General features: G+C 34.8%; 1 annotated feature.

Annotated features, from left to right (window-relative positions):
* Positions 14872–15041: an enhancer, noted in NCBI's record as "experimental_74949 CRE fragment used in MPRA reporter constructs". NCBI's record gives its function as "activates a minimal promoter by MPRAs in K562 erythroleukemia cells, with activity observed for both the introgressed and non-introgressed 4:157191728 variant alleles {active_cell/tissue: K562}" and the evidence as "EXISTENCE:reporter gene assay evidence [ECO:0000049][PMID:34662402]".

The raw sequence follows: 15371 nt of genomic DNA on the forward strand, positions 1-15371 counted from the left end.
TACATGTGAGAACCTGTTATCACTCAGAATGAAAGGTAAATGTCTTCAAATTTCTGTTTCATTTGGACTAAGAAGACTTGAAGAGATTGCAATCTTTCCCTTCTCATGCATAAATCATCGAGTTACACATTCGCAAGGATGAAGGTGTCACTGAAGTACTTGTTTAAAAATAAATATTGCTTTTCACAGAAAGGCTAAATTCGTTCTCCAGGGAGCTGTAGTCATGGCAATGACACTTCAGAACTAAAATCAACAGTACTTTCTTTGATGAAGTTAGTTATTGCATGCTTCACGTAAATACATATATTTTGTCTATTTAGTACTTAAACCACCAAATTATGTTTTTGGGCATCATTGTCTACAGTTCTTAAGCTTCTTTTCTTTGAAAATATATGTGGTTTCTTCTCATCTGATCATATTGTGGCATTACATTATGAATAGGTCAATGACTAAATACAAGACTCATCCGTTTTATCTGACAAAAAGTTTGACATAGATAATAACTATTTTGTCAGATAAAACTGATGGGCCTTAAATTTAAGATGTTTTTTCTTTCATATTAGTAGGTAGGTGGTAATAGTTTATTTAACACATTGTTTGCACTGTGAGAATCACACTTTTAGATTTTTTTCTTTGTTTTTTCAGGTAAGAAAATTTCTCAGATTTTAAATACTTTCCCCTGGCTATACATTTTTGAAATGTATAACATCCCTAATTCAAAATTTGCAAAGAATACAGTTAATGTGCTGCATATTCATATATACCTCATAGAGCTCATAAAATATATGCACCTGCATGCCCTGTTTTTCACATTTAACTTGTCTTGAGTATTTCCCATCAATGATATTTTTAAAAATTTCACTTATAATAACAATATCATTTTGTGTAATAGATATTTTATAACATATTTAATAATTTACAGATATTTGACTTTGATTTGTAGATATATATTCTTTATGAATTATTTTTTTCTTTTTGTATAATTTTTTAAGATTTTTTTTAAAAGAAAGGTGAGAATAATTTGCTAGTTTGGAAGTTTTCTTATGCCTTGATCTTTTAGAAAATACAGCAGAAAATACCAAAAATGTATTTTTTCCACTTTCTTCTGGAACTTTATTTCATTTATTTTCAATAAAAGATAATTAGGTTTTTACTTAATAAAGAAAACTGCCAATGCCTGTGATATCAAATAACGCCTTTATTTAAAAATATTATAAGTGTAAAGAAGATAATGATGTTCGGACTTTTTATATATAATAGATTTCCCATAATCCCATGACACCGTTCATAACACATAACACTAATACTGTTTGATTCCTCTGTTTAATCCTCTTCTCCACCTAAGATTTTATCAGGAAACTTTCTTCTTAGGAATTGAAACAGTAAGCACTTTTATTCACTATTACCTCTTTTTCTGTTTTGAGCTTTTGGGTCCAAAGGAAGGAGACTCTGTATTTTCTGAAGGCCACACTGCGCCTCTCCCAAGGTATAAAGGTAAGTAGTACCTTTGTGTCTTCCTCTGCTCTCCCTCTTCCATCCACCACGCTGCTCTTCTGGAGCTCTCAGCAGCAGGAATAGTTGCTCTGGTACATCAGGAGGAAAATGGATTGTCTACAAATGGACTCTTTGCCTAGCAAAAATGTCTGCTTGTTTTTAACACCTGTGGTTTAGATCCTCGATAACAGAAAATAAAGCATTCCTGATGTAAGTAAGCTTTAATAGTCAATATCTTTAAGACCCTAAGACAATTAGCTGCTGTTGCTTAGAATTTACTAATGACTCCACTTAATCACCTGGACTGTGCTGATGACTACTCATGACTTTATTATTTTTAAAGCTTTGTCAGTATCCGTAAGTGCTTAAGAAGAAGAAGGTGAAGAAAAAAAGAGAGAATTCCATATCTCTCTGTTATCTCCACATTTGCTATAGAGTCTGGGTACAGAAGCAAAAAAAGGCATGTATAATGAATAATGACAGCACCAACACAGGAGGCTGAAAAGTTTATTTCAGTTGGTTTCACATTTGACTACGCTTAGGGATTTCTCAAAGGAGTCACCTATAAATGTGGTGGCTACTCATTGATTGATAGACACTGCCTGTTATTTGGATAAGCCTAAAATAGGCCTCTTTGGACAAACAAAATCTCAGGAGAAGTTAGAGCAGGTGATTTACAGGAGCAATCGGAGGGGTTGAGGTGGAGTAGGAGTGACAGGGTGGTCCAAACGGAATTTCATGCTGAGCAGGACAAAATACGAGAGTATAGATCAAAGCCAGACACAGCAGTGTCAGTAAATATCAGATGAATAAAATGCATGATGATTTTGCTTGAGATCTTGTCTTCAACTTTTCTCTTTGGCTTCTGCACTGTTTACCATTAGATTCAGTGGAACATAACTGATGAGAAAGGTTGTGAATAAACCATCCCCATTTAATTAATCCCCTGCTGGTTTTGCTGATGATCTTTTCCCCACCAAGTGTCCTCTTCAACAAGGTTGGGCAAAATACCGAATAATGAATTTAGCATAGCTTCTGTTAACTTGCCAGCTATTTACCATATATTTTCCCCCTTAATTGTCAGATTTTTTTTCAATGAAGATTAACAAGGCATTACCAATTTATAGAATGGTTTTATCCATGCTTGTAAATGTTAATTTGCATTGACTAAGATGAAACTGGGGTCATCACTTTTCCTTTGATAACTTTCTTCCTTAATTGCTATTTGCATCAAACCACGCTGAGTGGATATGGTTTTAGTTTTCTGAAAATGAGCATATTTGAAATATATTTTGAGATTCTTGGCTTTATTGAAGGGTTTGGAGGCATCCTTTGTCCCTATGTATTTTATTTTCTGTTGAAAATCTCAGAAACATGTGTTACAGGGAAAGAACACAGATAATTTATATATGCAGAACATTTTCTCAGCATGCATGAAATGTATTATACTATCTCTTGGCAGTATGATTGTTTGCAGTTAAAGTTTGCATAAAACTCAAGTATTCTAGTATTTTCAATTATCTCTTTTAAAATCACCTTTGGCTTTGTCTATTTTATTTTAGCTGTGTTTGAACTTAGTGTTGGCTAATAGAGCACCTGCCATGTGAACATGTAGACAGAATTTTACTTTTTTATTTAATCCAAAAAGCATGCCAATGCAAAAAGGTAACTGCCGTTTTGAAAGAGTGATGTGCAATTATCTAATATAAGTTTAAATGATAAATTTAAAATACAGTTGTTGGGCTTACCAAATGTCTACTCATTCATACTCCAATTGCTGTTATATGTAAGACGCAGAGACCAGAGAATGCAATAGAAGCATGGTAAAGGTAGGATTTTTCTGTGTCTCAACCGTTCAGGCAGATAAGTCTATTCTTTTCTTTCCTGCTATTATTCCAGGAAGTCATGGATTTTTCATGCAATGGGTGAAGAAGACATACAGCTACATACACAGTACTGACTGGGATGTTTTAAAAATCGCATTTGAGAACATTTGAGCTAATACAATGCATTTTCTTAACGAGAGATTTTCAGAATAAAATTTTTAAGCTATTGAGCCTCTTGAAGCTACCTACCAGTGGACTTGGAAAAAGTCTCAGAGTTGGAAGAATTTATTAGGTTATATAATAAGGTTATATAATCCATATTCCTTTATTTTTATGGTAGAAGTAACTGGGTAAGAGAAACTCAAGTCACTTTCCCAAGATCATCTGGTTGGTTTTTAGTAGCATTTGACATTTTGTAACCACTGCCCACTCCCCCAGCCCTCAAAAACTCATAAATAAATAAAATATAAAATTTATATTTTAAAATCTTATTTCAATTTGTAACATCAAAGCTATAATGTACCATCTGTTTTTTGAGAATTTTTTTTGCTGTTTTCATAGACTTCTATGATTTTCTCTATTTGTACCCAGCCCATTTTTTTCCATATGAATGCTAATATAATGAGAATTACTATTTCCCTTTGTTTATGACATATCTGGGAGTCTATAAACACAGGCAACAAATAGCCCAGAACATATTATTGTGAATTTGATAAACTTGATATTCTTAACCAATGCATAGCTAATCAACATGAGTCATTTCTGCTACATATGCCATATATATTCCTGAAAATCTTTTGCTAGAATTTTAGGCAAATGGAATCATACATCCCATAAGGCATTAGTTTTTTCTACATGAATGACTTTATTATTTCTTGTGTGAGTTGCTTGTGATGAATTCTCTCAGATTTTTTTATGTATGAAATAGTTTTTATTTGAAATGTTTTTGATATATTTGTGTTGCATGTAAAGTTATAGGTTGACAATTATGGTAAGCTGAATAATAGGCCCTCAAAGATGTCCATGTCCTGGTTCTGGGGGCCTGTAAATAACATACATGGTAAAAGGAATTTTCTGGATGATTGAATTAAGAAGCTCAAGAGGAGATATTATGAATGATTAAGTTAAGGAACATGAGATGGGATGTTATGTTGATATTCTGCGTGAGGCTGATGTAATCACAAGTGCCCTGATGAAAGAGAAAAGATGAAAAGACAGAAAAAGTTATACAAGAGGAAGGAAGGTGATGATTTTGAAGATGGCGGAATCACGAGCCAAAGAATGCAGTTGGCCTGAAGCAGGAAAAAGTAAGGGAACAGATTTTCCCCTAGAGCTTCCAGAAGGAACACAACCCCGTCAAAGCCTTAATTTTAGCCCAGTGGAAATAATTTTAGCCTTTTTATTCCCAGAAATGTCAGACAGTAAATTCATATTGTATCAAGCCACTAAGTTTGTGATGATTTGTTACAGTGACAATAGGAAATTCATGTTTCTAGTAATTTTTAAAAGTGACTCTATTATCTTCTCACTTGCATGAAAAAATATCTGCTGTTATCGTTATCTTTGTTCACTTGCATGTAATGTGTATTTTTTCTTTGGCTGTTTTTAAAATATTCTTTTCATCCATAGTTTTAAGCAATTTGATTATGATATGCCTTGTGCTTTTCTTCATGTTTCTTGAGCTTAGAGTTTGCTGAGCTTCTTGAGTCCATAGGCTATAGTTTTACACTTTTAGCCAGTATTTCTTCAATTTTGTTTCTTACCTATACCCACATCAGCACCCCCAACTCTCTCCTTCAGCTGATTTAATCAAATGTATTTTAAGCCACTCGATGTGCCACAGTTTACTGAAGCCTGTTTCAGTTTTTGTATTCTTCTTTTCCTTTGTTTCATCTTGGGAGGTTTTATTCCATTTCTGCAAGATCACTAATCTTTTCATCTGCATTGCCGGATTTGCCATAAAGGCTATCCAATGTTTGGTTGTTATTTTTGTTTACTCATGAAAACAGCATGGAGATAGTACAGAAATTTTCCATATACTTCCACATCTGTTTTTTTTTTCTGTTTTAATATCTTCATTATGGTTCATGTGTTACAATTAATGAACCAATATTGATATATTATTATTACCTAAAGTAGCACTTTATTCCAAGTTCTTTAATTTTTACTTTTTTATGTTCCAGAATGTCATCAAGGTTGTTACATTATATTTACGCAGTATATCTCCTTAGGCATCTCTTGGCTGTGATAGTTTTTCAGACTTTTCTTGTTTTTGATGACCTTGATATTTTGTTGAAATATACTTAGGTATTTTGTTGAATGTCCCACAATTTAGAGTTCTATTATATTTTTCTCATGGTTAAACTCAGGTTATGTGTTTCAAGAGTGAGAAAAGAAAGGTAATATCTCAGTCTCATTATATCATATCAAGAGTGCATACTATCAATGTGAGTCATCACTGTTGGTGCACACCTTGAAAACCTGGCTAAGGTAGTGTTTGTCAGTTTTCTTCACCATAAAAACATTCTTTTCCTGTTTTCCATATTATACTCTTTGGAAGCATGTCACTATGTGAACCCCATATGTAAGAAATGAGGCATTATGTATCATCTCCTTGAGGCTAGAGTGTCTACATAAATCATGTGGGATTCTTTCGCATAGAAAATTTATGTTTTCCTTCCTCTCTTCATTTTCTTTCCTCCTCTCCTCTCTTCTCCCTCTCTCTCTCCCTTCCTTTCTTATTTTCCTTCCTTCCTTCTTTTTTTCCTTCCTTCCATTTCTTTCATGTGGATTATTACATAGTTATTTTATACTTCGGGTTATAATCCAACACTACTCTGTTAATTTTGTTGCTCAAATTGTTCCCTGCTTTGGCCATTGGTAGTTCTGTCAGTTGGGTCTTCTGTCCCTTTGACATGTTACCAATATTGTTTTTGTTTTTATACGCACCGTATACTTTGTGGCTCATATTGCATATTTACTATCCCAATTGTATAAATAGTCATTTATCCAAGGAACACTGATTCCTTTTATTAGAAAATGGTATTAGAAACCAAGATCTGGGTACTAGGAGTGTTCATTGCTACTGGGGTGACCATGTTTCCAGGCCAACTCAAATGACAGAATAAGAAAATATATGTGTATATCCTAGCATATTAGTCTATTGGGACTGTAAAAGATATCACAGACTGTCTGGCTGGCTTACAAAATGACATTTTTTTCCTCACAACTCTATGAGCCAGATGTCCCAGATCAAGGTACTATGAAAAGAAAATAAATCTTGGGGCCCCCAAGTCACTAAGCTAACGGGAAAAGTCAAGCTGGGAACTGCTTAGGGCAAACATGCTTCCCATTCTATTCAAGGTCACCCCTCTGCTCACTGAGATAAATGCATATCTGGTTGCCTCCTTTGGAAAGGCTGATCAGAAACTCAATGCAGTGTTTGTCTCTCACCTACCTGTGACCTGGAAGCCTCCTCCCTGCTTGGAGTTGTCCTGCCTTTGCTTCCAGTTGTCCCACCTTTCCATACCGAACCAATATTCATCTTACATATGTTGATTGATGTCTCACATCTCCCTAAAATGTATAAAACCAGGCTGTGCTCTGACCACCTTGGGCACATGTCGTCAGGATCTCCTGACCCTGTGTCACAAATGCATGTCCTCAACCTTGGCAAAATAAACTTTCTAAATTAACCGAGACCTCTCTCAGATATTTGAGGTTCACCGTACCATTAGGGTTGATTTCTTCTGAGGCCTCTCTCCCTTGGTTTGCAGAGAAGCACCTTCTCATTGTGCCTTCACATGGCCTTTCCTCTGCATATGTAGAGGGGGAAAGATTCCTGGTGACTCTTCCTCTTCTTATAAGACACTAATTTTATTGGATTAGAGCCCTATATTTATGACCTCCCTTAACTTTTATTACATTTTTTGGGGTTCTGCCTCCATATACAGTCACATTGGGGTTAAGTCTACAACATATGAATTATATTTGTTAGAAAGGTATACAATCTAATCTATAAGAACGAGCTTGTGTATATTTAAAAGTATTTTTATGAGTAACCATCTGTATCTATATCAAGCTAAACATGACATCATACTGATGTTATTTGTCTAGTGCATTTTTTCATATTAGACATTATAATTTTAATCTCTAGATGTTTGATTTGGATCTTTTTAATATAGTCCATGTTTGTACTTAACGTTTTTGAACAGATGAAATGCAGTTACATTAATAATTTTAGTGTCTTTTTAAATTTTATATCTGTCAATTCTGGATCAGTTTCAACTGATTATTCTTCTCATTATAGCATGTGATTTCTTGTTCATTTGTTTGCCTGCCTAATAATCTTTAAGATGCCAGACATTGTGAATTTTACCTTTTTGAGTGTTAATATTTTTATATTTCTATAGGTATTTTTGAACTTTGGTCTGGGATTTTGCTGACTTATTTGGAAACAATTTGATTCTTTTAGGTCTTTTTTCTAAAATTTATTAGGTGAATTGAGATCAGTGATCACTCTAGGGCCAATTATTTCCATTAAAGTAACAACTTCCTAAGTATGCTACCCAATGTACTATTGAGAGTTTTTCTTCTCTTGCTGCTCAGAGCAGGCACTATTTAGAGTTCTGTGTGGTCAGTGGGCACGTAAGCATTTTAAGTGATTCTTTCCACAGTTTTGGAGAGTTACCTCACATGCATGTGCTGATCAGTACTGCGTGCCACACAGTACTGTGTACTACGTAATGGGGGCCCTCTGAAGATCTCTAGGGTTTTCTCCCTGTGAAGTTAGTACTGTGAACTCTAGCCCATCTTGGTGTCCCTGTACCTTCAGAGATATCTCATCAGTTCAGTGAGTCTTCTAGGGACTGATTGACTTATTTTCTCATGCATTGTGACCTGAAATCCTCTCAAGGAATCAATTTTATCAATTATGGAGCTTACTTCATTTCTCAGGGAATTTTTTCTTTCTTTTTTTTTTTTTTTTTTTTTTTTTGAGAGAGAGAGTCTCACTGTGTTGCCCAGGCTGGAGTGCAGTGGTACAATCTCAGCTCAATGCAACCTCCACCTCCCAGGTTCAAGCAATTCTCATGCCTCAGCCTCCCACATAGCTGGGATTACAGACATGCATCATCACGCCCAGATAAATTTTTTTGTGTTTTTAGTAGAGATGGGGTTTCGCCATGTTGCCCACACTGGTCTCAAACTGCTGACCTCAAGTGATACACCCAACTTGGCCTCCCAAAGTGCTGGGATTACAGGTGTGAGCTATCGCACCTGGCCCTCGAGGAACATTTTATTTCATTGCTTGATGTCCAGTACCTTGAAAGCTGTTGTTCTATATGTTTTGTTTGTTCTATATGTTTTGTTTGTTATTTGTTTGTTTCAGGTGGTAGGGTAGATTCAGTCCCTGTTACTCCACCTTGGTAATAAGCAGAAGTTCTATACCATATTTTCTTATTTTCTTGCTCTGTCTGTATTTGTTGCACACCTCAATACGTATGCCAATTTATTTTATAAATTTAACTCATCATTTTTCTTGCCATTTTTTCTACTAATTCTTTAAATATACTAGCCACTCCCTTCCTGAAAAATTATTTTTTCTCCTCCCTTGGCTTCACCCTCTAACCACCATCTGATCCTTGTCCTTCATATCTCAGATGTGCATTTTGAAAGAAAAGTCTATCCAAGATGGCTCCACATTCCTATCTCCCCAACTTTCCTCGGAGTAATCTGCCTAGTGCATGAGCCACACAGATGAATTTTCCTAGCTAAGATCATTAATGACTTATATACAGAAAAATCTAATTAACAGTTTTCAGTTTTTATCAAGTTTCTGTGCTATATTTCATGTGTTAGCCACTCACACCTTCTCTAAAAAATATAAAATTTTAATGATGGAGCTAAGAAATCAACTTTAATAAATCAAAAGCCACAACAAGTGAGAAATGTGATATAAAATATTAATTTTTTAAAGTAACAGACTAAGCTATATGTGCATGCATGTCATCTTTGTCAAGTTGCTTTCCATTTTAAGTAACATAAAATCACTCAAGCAAACTTTTATCTAAGGGAAGTTTATCAGCAGGTATAGTAGGTATCCAAGTATCTGAAGGAATCCAAGGGCAGGGAGTGCAGAGAGGCCTCATGAGCGCTTGAAAGAAGGAACTGGGAGGCAATCTGGAAGTCAGGCAACTGTTCCTCCACTATGAACTGTTAGGATAACATGCTCAGCCTACCTCAAATCAAAATCATGCACATTGAAAAGCACACATCAACTGCTTATTGATGTGCCATTTGCTCATTAAATTAGTAAAACTACTGTGCCATTTGCTTATAAATTAGTAAAACTACTGCTTATTTACCTGATATGGTTTGACTGTGTCCCCACTCAAAATCTCTTCTTGAATTGTAATCCCCACATGTCAAGGGCAGGACCTGATGTAGGTAATTGAATCATGGGGGCAGTTTCCCCAGTGCTGTTCTCATGATCATGAGTGAGTATCATGAGATCTGATGGTTTTATAAGTGTCTGGCATTTCCTTAGCTGGCATTCATTCTCTCTCCTGCTGCCCTGTGAAGAGTTGCCTTCTGCCATGATTGTAAGTTTCCTGAGCCCTCCCAAGCCATGCAGAACTGTGAATTAATTAAACCTCTTTTCTTTATAAATTACCCAGTCTCAACTATTTCTTCACAGCAGCATGAGAATGGACTATTGTTCAGCTCCCACTTAAAAGTGAGAACATGCAGTGTTTGTTTTTCTGTTCCTGCATTAGGTTGCTGAGGATAATTGCTTCCAACTCCATCTATGTCCCTGCAAAGGACATGATTGCATTACTTTTTATGGCTGCTTGGTATTCCATGGTGTATATGTACCACATTTTTTTTATCCAGTCTGTCATTGATGGGCATTTGGGTTGATTCCATGTCTTTGCTATTGTGAATGCTGCTGCAATGAACATACACATACATGTATCTTTATAATAGAATGATTTATATTCCTTTGGGTATATACACAGTAATGAGATTGCTGGGTCAAATGGTATTTCTTCCTCTAGGTCTTTGAGGAATCAGCACACTGTCTTCCACAATGGTTGAACTAACTACATTCCCACCAACAGTGTAAAAGTATTCCTAGATGCTTAGCTTCACTGGCATCTGTTGTTTCTTGACTTTTTGATAACTGCCATTCTGACTGGCATGAGAAGTTATCTCAATGTGATTTTGATTTGCATTTCTCAGTGATATTGAGCTTTTTTCATGTTTGTTGGCTACATAAATGTCTTCTTTTCAGAAATGTCTCTTCATGTCCTTTGCCCACTTTTTAATGGGATTTTGGGACTTTTTCTTATAAATTTGTTTAAGTTCCTTGTAGATTCTGGATATTAGACCTTTGTCAAATGGATAGATTGCAAAAATTTCCTTCCATTCTGTAGGTTGTCTCTTCACTCTGATGATAGTTTCTTTGCTGTGCAGAAGCTCTTTAGTTTACTTAGATCTCATTTGTCAATGTTTGCTTTTGTTGCAGTTGCTTTGGATGTTTTTGTCATGAAATCTTTTTGCATGTCTATGTCCTGAATGGTATTGCCTAGATTTTCTTTCTTCTAAGATTTTTATAGTTTTGGGTTTTACATCTAAGTCTTTAATCCATCTTGAGTTAATTTTTGTATAAAGTGTAAGGGAGGAGTCCGGTGTCAATTTTTTTTTTTTTTTTTTTTTTGCATATGGCTAGTCAGTTCTCTCAGTACCCCTTAATAAAGAAGGAATGAACAACACATACTGGGGCCTGTCAGGGTGGGAAGTGCTGAGAGAGGGAGAGGTTAGAATAAATAGCCAATCCATGTGGGATTTAATACCTAGGCGATGGGTTGATAGGCGCAGCAAACCACCATGTCACACATTTACCTATGTAACAAACCTGCATGTCCTGCACATGTATCCTGGAACTTAAAATAAAATAAAATTAAACAAAATTTTAAAAATTAATCTGTGTGGCCCAAACCACTGAATTTGTGGTAATTTGTTAGGGCAGTGTATTAGTCTGTTCTCACACTGCTTTGAAGAAGTACCTGAGACTGGGTTATTTATAAAGAAAAGAGGTTAAATTGACTCACAGTTTCATATGGCTGGGGAGGCCTCAGAAAATTTACAATCATGGTGGAAGGAGAAGCAAATATGTTCTTCTTCACATGGTGGCAGGAGAGAGAAGTGCAGAGCAAATTGGGGAAAAGCCCCTTACAAAACCATCAGATCTTGTGAGAACTCACTCACTATCATAAGAATAGCATGGGAGAACCACCTCCATGATCCAATCTTCTCCTTTGAGGTCCCTCACCTAACATGTGGGGATTACAATTTGAATTACAATTCAAGATGAGATTTGTGTAGGGACAAAGAGCCAGATCATATCAGGCAGCAAAAGAGAATACATCAACCTTTTGAAATGTTACTATGATGATTCTACTATCTTGTTTGAAAAAAAACTTCAAAGAATTAAGTCGCTTTGCTCAGTGTAACATACAAGACCCCACACTCATCCCTACCAACTACTCCAGCTGCATTTTTCATCATTTCTAAATTATATCCTGCAATAGCCTTATAAAAAGTTATGTTCTTTGGTGAACAGGACTTGTTTCCATGTTATTTCCTCTTCTTAGAAAATCCTTCTAGCTTTTCTGCACATTTAAAATCTTGTAACAAGAGTTAGATCACATGTTGTCTTCTGTGTGTATAACCACTATTTCTCCCATGGGCATTCTTATTGCCTAATCCTCTCAAACTCCATTGCAATCTGTGGGGACCTACATATAAGCATTTATTTACATACATTATAACTTCTATATATTTATTTTCCTCAGTAGGCTAAAGTCCATGGGAAAAGGTGGTTCTCAGAAAACTGAAATGAAGAAAACACAGACTCAAAATTAAGGTGACTGTTTGCTAAGAGCCACTAAGATTCAGTGACTCAGATGAATCTTGTCTTCTAATAGAGTGTTTGATAAATAAACATAATCCAGTGTATTTTACAATGCTAGGAAAAATTAATTCTTAAATATTGTATTCTCAATTTTCAAATGTATCCATTTATGGAAAACAGCATGTCTTGTGTCTAATGTGATTTGGAAGTGCATTGACAGATCTTATTTTATATAAGAACTCTAGTGTCAAATGAATTAATCCATAGTAAAACTGGAAATTAGAGACATTTGGAGATGCCTGATTACTTAAAACCTGTAGTCATATCTCACTATGGACTTAAATACTTGGGGAATTTAGGTGATGATATTGTTTTTATTGCATGTTGATCCTGCTTAAACAGGTGAAAGGAAATTTGTGACTTTCCCATTGATAATTATTCTTGACAAAATATCTCCGGACATAGCTCCCAGAAAGTTTAATGTTGGTCTTTGCATGGTCACATTGACCCCTCAGTCTGAGGAAACACAGACTAACCCCTTAGTTTGAGGAGTTGTTTCCAGGCAAAAAACAGAAATTGAAACTTAAAATTTCTCTTCTGAGTATACTCTGTGATTCCATTTATCTGAATTCCAAGAGCTGCAAAATAACCTAAGGTGGGCGAAATTATGATGTGGTAGCCCAAGTAGGAACTGTAGATTGATTAGAAAGGGGAATAAGGAAACTAATTGGAGTATGGAATGATTTAGTAACCCCAAAGTGACCAATGACATTATTTGAATTACTTTATTGTATTTATTTCCTCTCCCTTTTCAATATTTTCTTTTCTGGATTGATGTTGACCTTAAAGCAGAATAATGAGGAGAGTTCCACTGATTAGTTGTTCTTGTCTAAACCTTTCCAATTTTTTCACTTTTCTTCATTGTATTATTTGCATAAAACTGTGCACATCTCTACATAATAAATGCAGTAGAAATACTAATCTAGTTTGGTGTGTTACAAATATAAAGAAAAAATACAAATAAATATTTCTATTCATCATCTCTTGATCATTAACAATGTTTAACTCAAAAAAATTTCTTTCAGTGATCCTTCCTTTTTGTAATAATTTGAAGCAAAATAATGCCACATAACTTCACTCATTTCAGAAAAAGTATCTAAGTTATCTCCCTACATTCTAAGAGTGTGTTTTAGAAAATTGAAATATGAAACGAGATGCCCTGAAGTTGTACATTTGCTATTGCAAATTCAGATAATTAAACCAATAAATTTAAAGCAAAGTTAAAGAAGGTGATAATGAGTTTGCTCATAGTAATATAAACTAATCGTGTTGAGAAGGAATGTTCAGTAACTAAAATGATTCAACAGTTCTAATTAAGGCAGTAGTGAAAAATGCAATTATAGGCAGAATGCCGAATGACCTAATTTTCCTCCCTTTCCCACTTTTGAAGTAGCTTCACCAAAGGAGTTGCCCTCTTTTCTATGTTTATTTTATAAAATCTGGTGATTAATACTTAAAATGCAAGTGAAGAAACATCATAACAAACAAGTCATTTAAAACACCAATGTCTGATTACCCAAGAGTGTGCTTTGTATTGAATTAGATTATATATTGCTGTGTCGCTGAGCAGGCTATTAATTGTACATATAAAATTTCTAATATGCAATATTTTGGCACTTGGATTCTAAATTAAGTTCAGTGTGATTGTCCTAGATAGGTCCTCTTTGTTCTCACTTGGAACTAATTAAACCCAATATGATCACATGAAAGTGAGCTATAGTTAAAACTACAAAGTGCTTTGTTCAAAAAAAAGAAATCTTAATTAACAGAAGACATACTAAGGAATCATTTGGTTTAGTACATAGTTTCATTACTTTTTAAAAGGTGCTATTGTCAATGCTGACCATTTTAGACCCTGGTTCTGTAAGTATTTCCAAATGGATTACAAACCACATGGAAGGAAACAGAATGAGATAGAAAGAAGGCCAAGACTTATCAAATCATAGATTCCTGGAAGCATGAAGATGAGAGTCTTTTCAAAGTCATCAAGTCTAACCTTCATACAAAGAGGTAACTGTGCTATACAGCATTGGAAGAACTTGTTTTCATTTCTACCATCAATTGGCTCACTTAAATTCCCTGAAGACAGGACCAAGTCCCTTTAGGTTTATGAGCTTAGAAGCTTATTTTTCTGGAGTAAAACTTCGGTTGTTCTTGCCTAAAACTGGGATAGAAGGAATATGGATAAAATATGTACTCACTCTATAAATATTTTTAAATGGTATTGAATAATATGATTTAGCACATCAGAACTGAATAGAAAACATAGCCAGATACAATTTTGTAATTTTCTATTGTCTATATTTAACTTTGTTGGCTTGTTTGTCTTTTCTTGAACAGATTTTCAAGTAAATTTTTTAGGCAGTTTGGGGCTGGATCTCTTTCTTTGGAGACCAACGGAATGTGGGACATTTGTTCTGTAGTCTGTCTGGAGCAATAAACACTGAGAGAATAACATAGAAGATGGAATATTCACTCCTCTTTCTTCCTAAGAGAACTCATTTATTCAAACCTCATATCACAGCACAGAGCATAGTTCTCAGTAGTGTGTGAAAGACAAATAATCGAGTTTACAGAATACCATCTCTTCATTACCAGGAAACCATCCAGAGTCCAAATATGCTCCAAAAGCCACTCCCTTCTTTTTAAAATACAAATACAGCAAGCATTTTTAAATTCTAAAAATGTGATATTTGACTTGAAGGTAAGGAATGAGAGATAACGAAAAGTTGGGCTTTGTGGTTTTTTTTGCTACAGTAGAATATATAGAATTCATAGGTTGATTTAGCATCTCTCTATGAGAGAGGCTCAGTCAGACCCTAGTCAGTCAGCATATAATGAAAACATTCTAGTTCCTTTCATTTTTATATTTCTTTCATGATCATTAAACAAAAAGTTTACTATAGAAAAACTTAAAAACACAAGAATACAAAAGAGATAATGAAAATTTCCCATAATCAAGCCAGAAATAACACCTTTTAATACAGTCTACCTCTAAGACATATATACCACTACATAAATAGGTGTATGAAAATGATACCTGGTATTTAAGAAACGTGCAGTGAATATTGGCT

Source organism: Homo sapiens, chromosome 4 (genome assembly GCF_000001405.40).
Source record: "Homo sapiens chromosome 4, GRCh38.p14 Primary Assembly".
Lineage (NCBI taxonomy): Eukaryota > Metazoa > Chordata > Mammalia > Primates > Hominidae > Homo > Homo sapiens.